Consider the following 16754-nt stretch of genomic DNA (forward strand, 5'->3'; position numbering starts at 1 on the left):
ACCCCCACCCTTGCCGCCTCCCGGCCTCCCGGAGCCCCGCACTCACCACGAGTAGGTCTGCTCCGCCATGGCGCTGCCTCTCGTGGGCTCCGCTGCAGGCTGTGGCCGGGCCCGGCGGCGGCGGGCTCGCTCGGGCCGTAGCTGAAGGCGCGGCCGGGGTCCGGTGCTTGCTTGCTTGCTCGCTCGCTGGCTCGCTGGCTGCACGGCGGGCCGGGAAGGCGGCTGGCGGGGAGAGGCCGGGCTCCGAAGCGGCCCCGCTCCCTGGGCCCCGGGGCGGGGCGGGCTCCGCTCTCGGCCTCCCTCACCCGCGGCGGCGGCGGCGGCTCCGCTGCAGCTCCAAACCCAACATGGCGGCGGCGGCGGCGCGGAGAACAAGGGGGCCCTGGGGCGGGCGAACGGCAAGACGGGCCCGCGCTCACTGCGCGCGGGGCCGCGGGAGCGCCGCGCTCGGGCGGCGGCGGCGGCGGCCGGGGGACATGGCCGGCGGGCGGAGGCGGCGGCGACTGAGGGGGGCGCTAGGCGATGAGGCGAGGCCACTCGATCACACCCGCCGAGGGGAGGAGGGGCGGGGGCGGGGGCGAGCCTTGGCCCCGCGCGGGTCACGTGCCCAAAACACGCTCACGTGATGCGCGCCCCGCCCCTCGAGCCGGGCCCATGCGCAGAGACGTCGGCTCCTGGGTTCTAGGCGGCTGCTGCTCGCACAGCCAGAGCAGTTGGGCCGCCTCCCGCTGCCTGGTGCCGCCCCCCTCCCCACGCGGAGATGTCGCCTCGGGTACCCTCTTCCGCCCCTCTCCGAGGGGCTGCTGCACCAGCCAATCGGGAACCCCGATGCGCGTCTGTTGGCTGCCACTCAGCTGTCAACCGTCAGTCAACAGTCTGCTGGCCACGGGCCCCCCAACTGTCAGTCAACCTGTCAGTCAACAGGCAGAGGGCTGCATTCCTTCGTTCGTATGTTCCTTGGTTCATTCATTCAGGTAGCAAATATTCCAGGCAGCCAACCTTTATTGCGCCCAGGCCCGGCACCAAGTCGAATACCCCACGCTTGCCTTCACAGAATCAATCAACAGATATTTGTTGGGTGCCAACCATGTGTCAACTCACTCTGCCTTCCTAGAGCTTACATTCTAAAGGAAGAGACATAGTCCAAGCCCACAAATAAGATAATTTCAGATGCTGCTAAGTTTTACAAAAACACATTTTGTAACACAAGGTGAGGGGACAGAGAGTGAGCAGAGGTGTGGGTTACTTTAGATAGGGTGGTCAAGGAAGGCCTCGCTTAGGAGGTGACATTTGAGCTGATATTGAATGATGACAGAGAGCTGGCCTTGCAAAGATCCACAGGAAAAGAGTTCCTGGCAGAGGGAACAGCAAGGGCAGAAGGCTCAGGAAACCGTCCATTTGGAGGTCTGGAAACCGGCACAGAAATAAACACGGTAGAGCTAGACCAGAGACCAACAAAGTGAATCTGGAGCTTAGATGGAGAGAGAAGAGAGAGATTAATTGAGGCCCCAGGTACTGCGGAATGCTTCCCCAGGAGTGGATGAGGCCGTCTGAAAGGGTGAGAGGCTTATCAAAGAAAAGTCATTCTTTTGGCCGGGCGCGGTGGCTCACGCCTGTAGTCCCAGCACTTTGGGAGGCCGAGGTGGGTGGATCATGAGGTCAGGAGATCGGGACCATCCTGGTTAACACGGTGAAACCCTGTCTCTACTAAAAATACAAAAAATTAGCCGGGCGTGGTGGTGGACGCCTGTAATCCCAGCTACTCAGGAGGTTGAGGCAGGAGAATGGCGTGAACCCCGGAGGCAGAGCTTGCAGTGAGCCGAGATTGCGCCACTGCACTCCAGCCTGGGCAACAGCGAGACTCTGTCTCAAAAAAAAAAAAAGAAAAAGAAAAAGAAAAAGAAAAAAAAAAAAGAAAAGGCATTCTAGAAAGAAAGAATGGCATGAAGTAAGGCCCAATTCCTGGTGAGCTTGAATCCGAGAGTGGGATGGGTGATTTGTGCTGGAGTGTTGAGAAAATATACTGAGAAGGTGCACTGAGGCCAGACTTTGAGGGCCCAGCTAAGCCTCCTTGCCAGTTACTGTGTTCATGAATAAAAATGATTAACCAGTGCAGCTTCAGAATTTAGAAACATGCCTGGGCAACAGATACACTAACCCTCCTGGACACCCCTCCACCCCCACCCTTCACCCCCCTGTTTCTCTGCAGAAGGCAAAACTCACACACCTGAAACCAACGTACTCAAGCTTCTCTGCAGCTTGCCCAACTTTAGGCCAGAATTTAGCTCTGCTCCAGTTTCCCAGGGCCTGCCCAGGCTTACAGGGAACACCACACCCTGAATCTATCTCCAAATGGATCAGTTGGCCATTGCCCATACATCTGCCGCTTGCCTGTTCCCCAAGGGAAACCCTTTAAAGAGAAAGCCAAGTACACTTTCCCTTCAGAAGCAAAGCTCTCCTTCCTTATTCCCCCACTGCCAGGTGCCAGGACCAGTTAGGTTCCAAGTGTTTCCTCCAAAGCTCTATCAGAGAGCCCTGGGAAAAGGCTCACTGATGAGATTGAGGTCCAGGCCGGGCGCGATGGCTCACGCCTGTAATCCCAGCACTTTGGGAGGCCAAGGCAGGTGGATCATGAGGTCAAGAGGTCGTGACTATCCTGGCCAACATGGTGAAACCCCATCTCTACTAAAAATACAAACATTCGCTGGACGTGGTGACCCATGCCTATAGTCCCAGCTACTTGGGAGGCCTGAGGCAGTAGAATCGCTTGAACCGGGGAGTGGAGGTTGCAGTGGACCTAGATCACGCCACTGCACTCCAGCCTGGCGACAGAGTGAGACTCCGTCTCAAAAAAAAAAAAAAAAAAAAAAGATCGAGGTCCAGGGGAGGGTTTGAGGCAGGGCAACAAGAAAATATCAAATCACCAGGGACCCTTAGTCTCACTATTCACAAGAAGACACTGGCCTGCAAAGATCTGTCCAGCCATAAACCCACCAGATGCAGGGATATTAAGGGGAGATGAGAAGGCAAAGGGGCTAAATTCTTTTTTAAAAAATTTTTTTAATTTAATTACTTTTTTTGTTTGTTTTTGAGACAGAGTCTTGCTCTGTCACTCAGGCTGGAGTGCAGTGGCGTGATCTCAGCTCACTGCAACCTCTGCCTCCCAGGTTCAAGCAATTCTGCCTCAGCCTCCCAAGTAGCGGGGATTACAGGCGTGCGCTACCACATCCAGCTAATTTTTTATTTTTAGTAGAGATGGGGTTTCACCATGTTGGCTAAACTCCTCAAACCCCTGGCTTCAAATGATCTGCCCACCTCGGCCTCCCAAAGTGCTGGGATTACAGGCATGAGCCACCGCGTCCGGCCAGGGGCTAAATTCTTGACATTCATTTAGCTCTCACAACCTTGCCAAGTGCTTTTACATAAAGCCAACTGTGTCCTTGAACGTGACGCAGTCATTCTGAGTTTCAAAGGGGCACAGAGTGAGGCTTTAGGTCCCATGGGAAAGGCCAGAAGCCGTTGGAAGTGGCTTTGGGTGATGCAGAAGCTTTTTCTTTGGAGAGCTAAGAACAAAACAGACCAGACATGTCACTTTTGAAACGAAAATGCCACACTGAGCCTCTGGGCGATTCACTTGGGCTTTGGTTCCCAGTGAGTCATAGAAGTCAAAGCCAAGTGGAAAGTTGGTGTTGGATGAATGAAACGGGAGCTGCTAGAGTAGGAAAGTCAAGGCCTTCCCAGAAGCAAAGGGACCATTCTTTTCAGTGGGAAAAATCTGGTGGAAGAAAGGAGGGAGAAGGGGTTTGGTGAAGGTATGGTGAATGAGGAGAGGTTTTCTTCTCTCTATCTGAACCAGAGACCTCCGAAGTGTTTCTTGAGGAAATGTGGCTGCAGACCCTAGAAGAAGCTACACAGCACTTGCCAGGGCTGGGATGATGTCCAGGCCATGGAAACACCGTGTACCTGGTCCCAGGAAGATGAAGTGTGGGCCCAGAGACTAATGGCTTGAGCATCTCAGGCTAAGGTTGCCGAGAAGTAGACAGCACCTCTAGATCCTAGTCAACATCTCTACAGGCTTGAAGTCTCCCCAGAGGGCAAGGTTGGAATAAATCTGAAGCCTGTGGCTTGCCTGGGAGCTGCCCAGACTGTGGCATCTGGGGAGTGACTTTTTAATTTTAATTTTATTTTGAGACAGAGTCTTGCTCTGTCACACGGCTGGAGTGCAGTGGCGCAATCTCAGCTCACTGAAACCTCCACCTCCTGGGTTCAAGCCATTCTACTGACTCAGCCTCCCAAGCAGCTCGGATTACAGGCACCCACCACCATGCCCAGCTATTTTTCGTATTTTTAGTAGAGACGGGGTTTCACCATGTTGGCCAGGATGGTCTCGAACTCCTGAGCTCAGGCAATCTGCCCACCTTGGTCTCCCAAAGTGCTAGGATTATAGGCGTCAGCCACCGCACCCGACTGGGAGTGACTTTTAGTCTCCCTGCCAGCAGCACTCAGCTCCAAGCTATAGCAGCCCCAGGTGTATCTGTGACACCTTTGGGCCTCAGCCAGGGAGTCAGGTGTGCTTCACAAGAGACTCAGGCATTAGGCTCCCCCAGGAGGGGTGCTTTGTCTCTCTGCACCCCACTGCAGGTGAGAGCGCTACAGCTTGTGCAATATTTGCTGAAAGAAGCCATGGAGGCTGGGTGCGGTGGCTCATGCCTGTAATCCCAGCACACTGGGAGGCCTAGGCGGGCAGATCACCTGAGGTCGGGAGTTCAAGACCAGCCTGGCCAACATGGAGAAACCCCATCCCTACTAAAAATACAAAAATTAGCCGGGTGGTAGTGGCACATGCCTGCAATCCCAGCTACTCGGGAGGCTGAGGCAGGAGAATCGCTTGAACCCGGGAGGCGGAGGTTGCGGTGAGCCGAGATCGTGCCACTGCACTCCAGCCTGAGCAACAAGAGCGAAACTCCGAAACGCCGTCTCAAAAAAAAAAAAAGAAAGAAAGAGGCCATGCAGGTGCCTCTAATTATCACCACAGTAATTATAGGATAGCTTCTTCCACCAAGTGTGTTCAAAAGAGACTTGGGGAGTCTCCCCCAGGATGGGTCCTCTGCTTTAGGCACAGACTCCAGGAAGCTGGCATTACAAGGTCTGTCTGGGCTGCTTAAGCATTGTTTCTGAGAACATCAAGGCTTAGGTCTGACCTGGCTCTACCAGTCCCTCCAGGCCATTTCTCCCCTCTGTCATCCACCCCTCGCCCCCACACACATGCATGTGCACTTTGTTTATATTCCATAGTGACCTGCTTGTAGCTTCCCCACGGGCTGTGTTCTTTTTTGCTTCCAATCCTCTGATCAAGTCCAGGAGGTTTCCCATTGGGTCTTTCTTTTTTTTTTTTTTTTTAGACAAAGTATCACTCTGTCGCCGAGGCTGGTGTGCAGTGGCGCCATCTCAGCTCACTGCAACTTTCGCCTCCTGGGTTCAAGTGATTCTCCTGCTTCAGCCTCCCGAGTAGCTGGGATTACAGTTGCCCACCACTACCATGCCCAGCTAATTTTTTTTTGTATTTTTAGTGGAGACGACTTTGGCCATGTTGGCCAGGCTGGTCTCAAACTCCTGATCTCAAGTGATCCACCCATCTTTGCCTCCCAAAGCGCTGGAATTACAGGTGTGGGCCGCAGCGCCCGGCCTCCCATTGCCTCTTAACTGCTGCTTATAGTTTTCGGGGCTTGACTGCAATGTCACATCCTCCAGGAAATCTCACTTGACCAAAACCTAGGCTGGGTTAGATACTTCTCTGCATTCTCATTGTCCTCTGAATTTACCCACATGACACTTGGCATAATGAACTGTCATCGACTGTTTACTTGTCAGTTTCTCCCTTAGCTTGTGAATGCTTCTTGGGAAGGGATTGTAACTGGCTGCCAGTTATATCCTGTGTGCCCAGCAGAGAGATTAGCCCAGAATAGAAGCTCAGTGTCTGTAGAATGAATGTTTGAGTGAAGGGGAAGGCAAGCCAGGATCCAGAACAACTTGTTTTGCCTGATGTCATACTCAACACCCACTTCTGTCCTCTGTAACTCCCTCCTTGACTAAGAGTGAGAGTTCTTAAGGGGAGAGAGATACGGGAAGACAGATCAGAAGTAAGGTATATGGTGAGCTTATCAGACACAGGGTCACTTGCATTCTTTGAACATGGGTTTTCAGAAAACGTTTTTTAGAGAAGTTTCAGGCTTACAGAAAAATTGATGGGAAAGTACAGAGAGTTCCCATATAGGCCTCTCCCTCCAGTAAATCTCCCCTATTAATCACATGGTATATTAGTGTAAGTACATTTGTTACAGTTGATGAGCCAATAATGAGATTAGGTTTTACTCTTCATGTTGTATAGTCTACGGGCTTTGACAAATACACTATGGTATGTAACCACCATTATAATGTCATACGGAATAGTTTCACAGCCCCAGAAATCTCCCACCCTCTGCCTATTCATCCCTCCCTCCCCATCAAATTCTGGCAACCACGGATCTTTTTACTGTCTGCATAGTTTTGCCTATTCCAGAATGTCCTATCATTGGAATCATACAGCGTGTAGCCTTTTCAGGCTGGCTTTTCACGTAGCAGTATACTTTTGATATTTTTCCATGTCTTTTCGTGGCTTGATAGCTCATTTCTTTTTATTGCTGAATAATATTCCATTGTATGAATGTACCAGAGTTCGTTTATCCCTTCACCTATTGAAGGACACTTTGGTTGCTTCCAACTTTTGGCAAGTATGAATAAAGCAGCTCTCAAGGTTTGTGTGCAGGTTTCATGTGGACATGTTTTCAATTTATTTGGGTATACCATGGATACTATGTATTTTTTGGAAGAATCTTGTTTAATTTCCAAATACTTGGGGCTTTCCTGGATATCTTCTTTGTTGTTGATGTTAATTGAATTCTGTTGTGGTCAGAGAATATATTCTGTAAGATTTCAGTCTTCTGAAGCTTATTGGAACTTGTTTATAGCCAACATATGGTTTATTGCAGTGACTATTCCAGGTGCACTTTAGAAGAATTCTATTATTTCGGGGTGCGGTGTTCTATAATAGTCAACTAATTCAAGGTGGCTGATAATGTTGTTCAGATATTCTATGTCCTTACTGATTTTTTTGTCTAGCAGCTCAATTATTTAGAGATAAGTAAATTTCTAATTATGAATTTACTTCTTCATTTAATTATATCAATTTTTCCTTTATGTATTTGGAACTATGATTAGGTTGATACTTAAAATTGTTATATCTTCTTAATGAAGTGCCCCTTTTATCATTATGAAATACCTGTCTTATGTTCTTAGTTTTGAAGTCTACTTTATCTGATATTAATATAGCTTTCTTATGATGTGTGTTTTTATTTTAGATCATTTTTCCAACCTTTTACTGTCAACCTCAGTGTGGGTTTGTATTTAAAGTATGTGCCAGCTGGGCGTGGTGGCTCATGCCTGTAATCCCAGCACTTTGGGAGGCCAAGGCGGGTGGATCACGAGGTCAGGAGATGGAGACCACCCTGGCTAACATGGTGAAACCCCTTCTCTACTAAAAAAATACAAAAAAAAAATTAGCCAGGCGTGGCCGGTGACTGTAGTCACCGGTACTCAGGAGGCTGAGGCAGGAGAATGGTGTGAACAAGGGAGAAGGAGCTTGCAGTGAGCCAAGATCGCGCCACTGCACTCCACCCTGGGAGACAGAGCGAGACTCCGTCTCAAAAAAAAAAAAAAAATAATAATAATAAAGTATGTGCCGGCTGGGCGTGGTGGCTCACGCCTGTAAACCTAGCAGTTTGGGAGGCTGAGGCGGGCGGATTGTCTGAGCTCAGGAGTTCAAGACCAGCCTGGGCAACACGGTGAAACCCCGTCTCTACTAAAACACACAAAAAAATTAGCCAGGTGTGGTGGCGCATGCCTGTAGTCCCAGCTACTCGGGAAGCTGAAGCAGGAGAATTGCTTGAACCTGGGAGGCAGAGGTTGCAGTGAGCCCAGATCACGCCACTGCACTCAGCCTGGGCAACAGAGTGAGACTCTATGAAAAAATAAAACAAAAATAAGTAAATAAATTTATGTGCCTTAGGCCAGGCGCGATGGCTCATACCTGTAATCCCAGCACTTTGGGAGGCCAAGGAGGCAGATCACCTGAGGTCAGGAGTTCGAGACCAGCCTGGCCAATGTGGTGAAACTCTGTCTCTACAAAAATACAAAAATTAGCCGGGGGTAGTGGCATGCACCTGTAATCCCAGCTACTAGGAAGGCGGAGGCAGGAGAATCGCTTGAATGCAGGAAGTGGAGGTTGCAGTGAGCCAAAATGGTGCCACTGCACTCCAGCCTGGGCAACAGAGTGAGACTGTCTAAAAAAAATAAATAAATAAAACTTTTTAAAAAGTATGTGCCTCGTAGATAGCATATGCTTATATATTCTTCTTTGCTCTGCCTGACCATTTCTTTTTCTTTCTTTCTTTCTTTCGTTTTTTTTTTTCAAGACAGAGTCTCACTCTGTCCCCCAGGCTGGAGTACAGTGGTGCAATCTCAGCTCACTCCAATTTCTACCTCCCGGGTTCAAGCCACTCTCCTGCCTCAGCCACATGAGTAGCTGGAATTACAGGCGCCTGCCACCACGCCCGGGTAATTTTTGTACTTTTAGTAGAGACAGGGTTTCTCCATGTTGGCCAGGCTGGTCTTGAACTTCTGACCTCAGGTGATCCACCTTCCTCAGCCTCAGCCTCAGCCTCCCAAAGTACTGAGATTACAGGCATAAGCCACAGTGCCCGGCTCCTGCCTAACCATTTCTGTGTTTTAATTAGAATATTTATTTCATTTACATTTGATGTAATTGTTGATGTGTTTAGGTTTGGTTCTGCCATTTTGCTATTTGTTTTCTACTCATTCCATCTTTTTTGTTGTTGTTCCTCTGTTTCTCCTTTCCTACCTTCTTTTGAGTTAACTGAGTAATTTTTTATGATTATATTTTAATATCTCTACTGGCTTTTTTCTTTTTTGAGACAGAGTCTTGCTCTTGTTGCCCAGGCTGGAGTGCAGTGGTGCAATCTCGGCTCTCTGTAACCTCTGCCTGCTGGGTTCCAGAAGTTCTCCTTCCTCAGCCCCCTGAGTAGCTGGGATTACAGGCACACGCTGCCACACCCAGCTAATCTTTTGTATTTTAGTAGAGATGGGTTTTCACCATGTTGCTCAGGCTGGTCTCAAACTCCTGAGTTCAGGCAGTCCACCTGCCTTGGCCTCCCAAAGTGCTGGGATTACAGGTGTGAGCCACTGCCCCCGGCTTTACTGGCTTTTTTAAAGCTGTACCCTCGTTAAATTGTAGTCGAAGTGGCTGCTGTAGTGAGTGTGAATCTCATGAGCTTTAACTTATCACAATCTACTTAAAATTGTTATTATTATTATTATTTTATTTTATTTTATTTTTTTTGAGAAAGAGTCTTCCTCTGTCGCCCAGGCTGGAGTGCCATGGCACGATCTTGGCTCACTGCAAGCTCCACCTTCCAGGTTCAAGCGATTCTCCTGCCTCAGCTTCCCGAGTAGCTGGGACTACAGGTGCCCACCACCACCCCTGGCTAATTTTTTGTATTTTTAGTATAGCCAGGATGGTCTCGGTCTCTTGATCTCGTGATCCGCCCGCCTCGGCCTCCCAAAGTGCTGGGATTACAGGCGTGAGCCACCGCGCCCGGCCTATTTATTATTATTATTATTATTATTATTATTATTATTATTATCATGTTTGAGCTGGAGTCTCACCCTGTCACCCAGGCTGGAGGGCAGTGGTTCCATCTCGGTTCACTACAACCTCCGCCTCCTGGGTTCAAGTGATTCTCATGCCTCAGGCTTCCAAGTAGCTGGGATTATAGGCACGTACCACCACGCCCAGCTAATTTTTGTATTTTTAGTAGAGACAGGGTTTCACCATGTCGGCCAGGCTGGTCTTGAACTCTTGACCTCAAGTGATCCATCCATGTCGGCTTCCCAAAGTGTTGGGATTATGGAAGTGAGCCAGTGCGTCCAGCCCACAATCTACTTAAAATTAATATTGTACTATTTCCCATAAAATGTAGGAACTTTGCACAATATCGTTCCATTTATTTCCATGTCCACCCTCTTTTGTTGTTCTTATTATATAAATGACATCTGTTATAAACCCCACAATACAATGTCATAACTTTAGCTCTTAAATAGCCACATCTGTCAGTGTGCCTATATGATTAAAAAAAAAAAAAAAAAAAAAGGAAGGCCCAGGTACGGTGGCTCACACCTGTAATCCCAGCACTTTGGGAGGCCCAGGCGGGTGGATCACGAGGTCAGGAGTTCAAGACCAGCCTGACCAACATGGTGAAACCCCATCTCTACTAATAATAGAAAAATTAGCTGGGCATGGTGGCACGTGCCTGTAATCCTAGCTACTCAGGAGGCTGAGGCAGGAGAATTGCTTGAACCGGGACCCGGGAGGTGGAGGTAGCAGTGAGCCAAGATCGCACCACTGCACTCCAGCCTGGGTCCAGCCTGGGCTACAGAGCAAGACTCTGTCTCAAAAAAAAAAAAAAAAAAAAAAAAAGGGACGCAACCACGGCGGAAGAACAACTGCCAGTCTAACTGTGCGTGAAGGCTGGCAGTGATGGGGCCGAGACTGGGAACCGCCCCTTCTCCCTGAGACTGTTCATAGTGCTGTGGGTCACAGGAGTCACCTTCAACGTTACCACCATTGACACCAAGAGACAGACTGAGAGAGTGCAGAAGCTGTGCCCAGGAGGGCAGCTCCCATTCCTGCTGCATGGCACTGAAGTGCACACAGACACCAACAAGATGGTGGAATTTCTGGAGGCAGTACTGTGCCCTCCGAGATACCCCAAGCTGGCAGCTCTGAACCCTGAGTCCAACACAGCTGGGCTGGACATATTTGCCAAATTTTCTGCCTACATCAAGAATTCAAACCCAGCACTCAATGATAATCTGCAGAAGGGACTCCTGGAAGCCCTGAAGGTTTTAGACAATTACTTAACATCCCCCCTCCCAAAAGAAGTAGATGAAACCAGTGCTGAAGATGAGGGCATCTCGCAGAGGAAGTTTCTGAATGGCAATGAGCTCACCCTGGCTGACTGCAACCTGTTGCCAAAGCTACACATAGTACAGGTGGTGTGTAAGAAGTACCGGGGATTTAACATCCCTGAGGCCTTCCCGGGAACGCGTCAGCACTTGAGCAATGCTTATGCATGGGAAGAACCCGTCTCCACCTGCCCAGATGATGAAGAGATCCAGCTCGCCTATGAGCAAGGGGCCAATGCCCTCAAATAAGCCCCTCCTGGGACTCCCTCAACCCCCTCCATTTTCTCCACAAAAGCCCTGGTGGTTTCCATATTGCAACCCAATGGACACACTCCAAAATGGCCAGTGGACAGGGAATCCTGGAAGACTTGTTCTGGGATGGTGTGGGGAAGAGGGGATGAGGGAAATAAATGGGGGGCTGGGTGAGATTTTTATTGTGGGGTGGGATGGGCAGGACAACATATTTCAGTAATAAAATAGAGAAAAAAATGAAAAAATAAATAAACAGCCGCATCTGTTAAAGAAATAAAGAAAAAATGTAAATACAATTTAAAAATATTTACTCACCTGTTTACCATCTCAAGAATTTTTTATTCCTTTCTATAGATCTGAGTTTTTTTTTTTTTTTTTTTTTTAGATGGAGTCTTGCTCTGTCACCCAGGCTGGAGTGCAGGGGCACCATCTCGGCTCACTGCAAGCTCCAACTCTTGGGTTCACACCATTCTCTCGCCTCAGCCTCCTGAGTAGCTGGGATTACAGGCATGCGCCACCAGGCCCGGCTAATTTTTTATATTTTTAGTAGAGACGGGGTTTCACTGTGTTAGCCAGGATGGTCTCGATCTCCTGACCTCGTGATCCGCCTGCCTCAGCCTCCCAAAGTGTTGGGATTACAGGCGTGAGCCACCGTGCCTGGCCCTATAGATCTGAGTTTTTATCCGGTATCATCTCCTTCAGCCAGATGAGCTTTCTTTGATGTTTTTTTTTTTTTTCTGAGACGGAGTCTCACTCTGCTGCCCAGGCTGGAGTGCAATGGCATAATCTTGGCTCACTGCAGCCTCCGCCTCCTGGGTTCAAGCTATTCTCCTGGCTCAGCCCCCCGAGTAGCTGGGATTACAGGTGCCCACCAGCATGCCTGGCTAATTTTTGTGTTTTTGGTAGAGATAGGGTTTCACCATGTTGGCCAGGCTGGTCTCAAACTCCTGACCTCAAATGATCTGCCCTTCTCAGCCTCTCAAAGTGTTGGGATAACAGGCGTGAGCCACCGTGCCCAGCCGATGTTCCTTATAATACAGGTCTGCTGGTGACAAACTCAGTTTTTGTTTATCTGACAATGACTCTGTTTTGTCTTCATTTTTGAAGGATAGTGTTACTGGATATAGAAATCTAATTTGAGCCAGGCGCGGTGGCTCATGCCTGTAATCCCAGCCCTTTGGGAGGCCGAGGCAGGTGGATCACGAGGTCAGGAGATCGAGACCATCCTGGCTAACACGGTGAAACTCTGTCTCTACTAAATATAGAAAAAATTAGCTGGGCGTGGTGGCGGGTGCCTGTAGTCCCAGCTACTTGGGAGGCTGAGGCAGGAGAATGGCATGAACCTGGGAGGCAGAGGTTGCAGTGAGCCGAGATTGCCCCACTGCACTTCAGCCTGGGCGACAGAGCGAGTGTCTGTCTCAAAAAAAAAAAAAAAAAAATGACTATGCCATACCTTGGCAGATTGTTTTGTATTCAGGCTGCTTGGGCTTCACTGAGATTTTTGAATCTATAAATTTGTCTTCGACTCTCGGCTTTCGGCTCGGAGGAGGCCAAGGTGCAACTTTCTTCAGTCTCTCGAATCCGGGTTCATCCAACACCAGCCGCCTCCACCACGCCGCCAAAGTTCAACCCCAATGAGATCAAAGTCGTATACCTGAGGTGCACCGGAGGTGAAGTCGGTGCCACTTCTGCACTGGCCCCCAAGATCGGCCCCCGGGGTCTGTCTCCAAAAAAGGTTGGTGATGACATTGCCAAGGCAACAGGTGACTGGAAGGGCCTGAGTATTACAGTGAAACTGACCATTCAGAACAGACAAGCCCAGATTGAGGTGGTGCCTTCTGCCTCTGCCCTGATCATCAAAGCTCTCAAGGAACCACCAAGAGTCAGAAAGAAACAGAAAAACATTAAACACAGTGGGAGTATCACTTTTGATGAGATTGTCAACATTGCTTCACAGATGCAGTACTGATCCTTAGCCAGAGAACTATCTGGTACCATTAAAGAGATCTTGGGGACTGCCCAGCCTGTGGGCTATAATGTTGATGGCCACCACCCTCAAGACATCATAGATGACATCAACAGTGGTGCTGTGGAATGCCCAGCCAGTTAAGCACAAAGAAAAATATTTCAATAAAGGATCATTTGACAACTGTGGAAAAAATAAAAAAATAAAAAAAATTTGTCTTCGAATAAATTTGAGAAATCAGCATATACTTTGTCAAATATTTTAATGCCCCATTCTCCCTCTTCTATTTTTCTGAAATTCAAATTACATATGGTATATAGAACATTTTTATTTTTATTTTTAAAATTTAAAAAAGATAGAGTTTCACTCTTGTCACCCAATCTGGAGTGCAATGGCATAATCTCGGCTCACTGCAACCTCCGCCTCCTGGGTTCTAGCGATTCTTCTGCCTTAGCCTCCTGAGTAGTTGGGATTACAGGCATGCGCCACCACGCCTGGCTAATTTTTGTATTTTTAGTAGAGACAGGGTTTCTCTGTGTTGGTCAGGCTGGTCTCGAACTCTCAACCTCAGGTGATCTGCTTGCCTCGGCCTCCCAAAGTGCTGGGATTACAGGAGTGAGCCACTGTGCCTGGCAATTTTTGTGTTTTTAGTAGAGATGGAATTTCACCATGTTGGCCAGGCTGGGTATATAGATCTTTTAATGTTGCCTCCCAAATCCATAAAACTCTGTTTAATTTTTTCAGTTATTTTTTCTCTCTCTGGTCTTTAGAATAAATAATTTGTATTGCTTTATCTTTATATTCACTGACTCCTTCCTTTGTAATCTTCATTCTATTAAATCTGTCAAGTTGATTTTTCATTTCAGTTATTGTACTTTTCAGTTCTAGAATTTCCATTTGTTTTTTTTTATAGTTAAAATTTCTCTTCTGAAGTTCCATATCTGTTCCTTCATTATGACTACATTTTCCTGTAAGGCCTTGAAGATAAGGCTGGGCATGGTGGCTCACGCCTGTGATCCCTGGACTTTGGGAGGCCAAGGCGGGCAGATCATCTGAGGTCGGGAGTTTAAGACCAGCCTGGCCAACATTGTGAAACCCCATCTCTACTAAAAATACAAAAATTAGCTGGGTGTGGTGGTGCACACTTGTAATCCCAGCTACTTGGGAAGCTGAGGCAGTAGAATCACTTGAACCTGGGAGGCAGAGGCTGCAGTGAGCTGAGATCACACCACTGCACTCCAGCCTGGGCAACAGAGGGAGACTCCATCTCAAAAAGAGAAAATAATTATAAAAGTTGCTTTAAAATCCTTGCTGCTAATTCCCAAGATTAGAAATTCCAACATCTGAGTCATAACTTTTTCTCTTTGAGAGTGAGTTTTGAGTATGATTCAGTTTTCTGTTTCTTCATATGCCTAGTACTTGTTTATTGTAGCTGGACATTGTCAAGACTATGGATTTTGTTATGTTCCTTCCAAGAGTGTTAATTTTGTTCTAACAGGCAATTAACTTGGTTGGACTGAAACTCCAATCTTTGTTTCCCCTGTGAAAGGCAGTAGCTGGAATTTCTACTCTGTTCTTGCTCCCAGCTGCTGATTTTACTGGGACTCCTGGAGACTCCTGTGCATATGTGCAGTTGGACAACCAAGGATTTGGACAGAGTTTATATACAGATTTTGGGACTTGTTTGCTCTATAGAATTTATTTCTGTGAGTTCCCTCTTAATTTTCCAGCCACACTTCTTGCCTAGAACTCTGTACTCGGCACCTCAAACCAGTAAGACCGTAGCTTTCTATGCATTTCCACCTCCCACACAAATTACAGAGTGCCCTCACACAAATAACCACAAAAATATAAGTCTAGTACGGGGCAGCTCCCACCTTTCAAGAGTTGATTTTCCTCACATTTCTAATTGCTGTTAGGTGTTCTTTAGTGCCTTCAAATATTTGGGTTTGGTTGTTGTTTATTTTATTTCAGGTTTTTTGTTTTTTGTTTTGGTTTTGTTTTGTTTTTGTTTTGAGATGGAGTTTTGCTCTTGTCGCCCAGGCTAGAGTGCAATGGCACAATCTGAGCTCACTGCAACCTCTGCCTCCCAGGTTCAAGTGATCCTCCTGCCTCAGCCTCCTGAGTAGCTGGGAATACAGGCATGCACCACCACAGCTGGGTAATTTTTGTATTTTTAATAGAGACAGGGGTTTCACCATGTTGACCAGGCTGGTCTTGAATTCCTGACTTCAGGTGATCCACCTGCCTCAGTCTCTTAAAGTGCTGGGATTACAGGTGTGAGCCACTGTGCCCGGCCAGGTTTTTTTTTTTTTGTTATTGTTTTGTTTTTAAGAGACAGGATCTTGCTTTGTTGCCCAGGCTGGAGCACAGTGGTATGATCATAGCAAACTGCAGCCTTGAACTCCTGAGCTCCAGCAATCCTCCTGCCTCAGCCTCCCAAGTAGCTGGGACTACCAGTGCATATCACCATGCCTAGTTAATTTTTTTGAAAACTATTTTGATAGAGATGGAGTCTTGCTATGTTGCCCAGGCTGGTCTTGAACTCCTGGCCTCAAGCAATCCTCTCACCTAAGTCTCCAAAGGTGCTAAGATTACAGGCATGAGCCACTGTACCTGGCCTTGTTTCAGGTTTTTTTTTGTTTTTGTTTTTGTTTTTGAGACAGAGTCTTGCTCTGTGGCCCAGGCTGGAGTGCAGTGGCACAACCTTGGCTCACTGCAACCTCCACTTCCTGGGTTCAAGTGATTCTCCTGCCTCAGCCACCCGAGCAGCTGGGATTACAGGTGTGCACCACGAGCCTGGCTAATTTTTTGTGTATTTTTAGTAGAGATGAGGTTTTGTCATGTTGGCCAGGCTGGTCTCAAACTCCTGACCTCAAATGATCTGTCTTCCTCAGCCTCCAAAAGTGCTGGGATTACAGGCGTGAACCAAGGCACCTGGCCCTTGTTTCAGTTTTATAATTGTTATCTGAGGCATGATTATTCTGACCAAATTATTGTGCTATTACCACCTCCTTACATTTTTTAACCGTTTTATTCCTCAGAGCACCTCTTTAAGGCTAATATAATTATCGCCCATTTTTAAACTGAGGAAACAGAGGCACTGCAAGGGAAACCATTTGTTTAAGGTCACACAGCTAGTTTGTGGAAGAGCCAAAATCTAAAACCAGTCAGATTACATAATCCTATGCTTGCTCCAGTTCACCACTATTCCTAAACACCTCAAGGTGGTTTGGATTCCAGCCTAGAGCCCTCTGGAAAGTATTTGGGGCTGGAAGGAGGTAAGAGCCCTCAAAATTCCTATTCAGGCTAGGGCAGTAGCTTTCAACCCAGAGCATCGGAGTCATCTGAGAAACTATGAAAAAGAGAGATGCTAGGCCTCATCTACTGAATCAGTAGCTCTAGTGGTAGAGACCGGGAATCTACTTTTTTGTTTTGTTTTGAGACAGAGTCTCGC

General features: G+C 48.0%; 1 protein-coding gene, 1 long non-coding RNA gene and 2 pseudogenes across 2 annotated transcripts in view, besides 3 other annotated features; 3 read left to right on the plus strand and 1 right to left on the minus strand.

The window, feature by feature from the left end:
• Positions 1 to 560, minus strand: part of SPPL3 (signal peptide peptidase like 3) — a 141849-nt gene extending 141289 nt beyond the window's left edge. Inside the window, exon 1 of the mRNA NM_139015.5 lies at positions 47 to 560. Coding sequence (NP_620584.2) covers positions 47 to 69 — 23 coding nt within the window. The 5' untranslated portion in view covers positions 70 to 560. The remainder of the gene's footprint in view (positions 1 to 46) is intronic.
• Positions 100 to 319: a silencer, noted in NCBI's record as "silent region_4968". NCBI's record gives its function as "represses an Ori minimal core promoter by ATAC-STARR-seq in GM12878 lymphoblastoid cells {active_cell/tissue: GM12878}" and the evidence as "EXISTENCE:reporter gene assay evidence [ECO:0000049][PMID:35858748]".
• Positions 400 to 759: a silencer, noted in NCBI's record as "silent region_4969". NCBI's record gives its function as "represses an Ori minimal core promoter by ATAC-STARR-seq in GM12878 lymphoblastoid cells {active_cell/tissue: GM12878}" and the evidence as "EXISTENCE:reporter gene assay evidence [ECO:0000049][PMID:35858748]".
• On the plus strand, positions 897 to 4276 carry XLOC_009911 (uncharacterized LOC105500240). Its single transcript, NR_131215.1, has 2 exons — positions 897 to 974; positions 3857 to 4276. It is a non-coding gene; the product is annotated as an uncharacterized LOC105500240 (long non-coding RNA).
• Positions 6248 to 6367: an enhancer, noted in NCBI's record as "active region_7151". NCBI's record gives its function as "activates an Ori minimal core promoter by ATAC-STARR-seq in GM12878 lymphoblastoid cells {active_cell/tissue: GM12878}" and the evidence as "EXISTENCE:reporter gene assay evidence [ECO:0000049][PMID:35858748]".
• Positions 10594 to 11525, plus strand: CLIC1P1 (chloride intracellular channel 1 pseudogene 1; annotated as a pseudogene).
• RPL12P33 (ribosomal protein L12 pseudogene 33) lies at positions 12857 to 13487 on the plus strand (annotated as a pseudogene).

Source organism: Homo sapiens, chromosome 12, assembly GCF_000001405.40.
Source record: "Homo sapiens chromosome 12, GRCh38.p14 Primary Assembly".
In the NCBI taxonomy this organism is placed as follows: domain Eukaryota; kingdom Metazoa; phylum Chordata; class Mammalia; order Primates; family Hominidae; genus Homo; species Homo sapiens.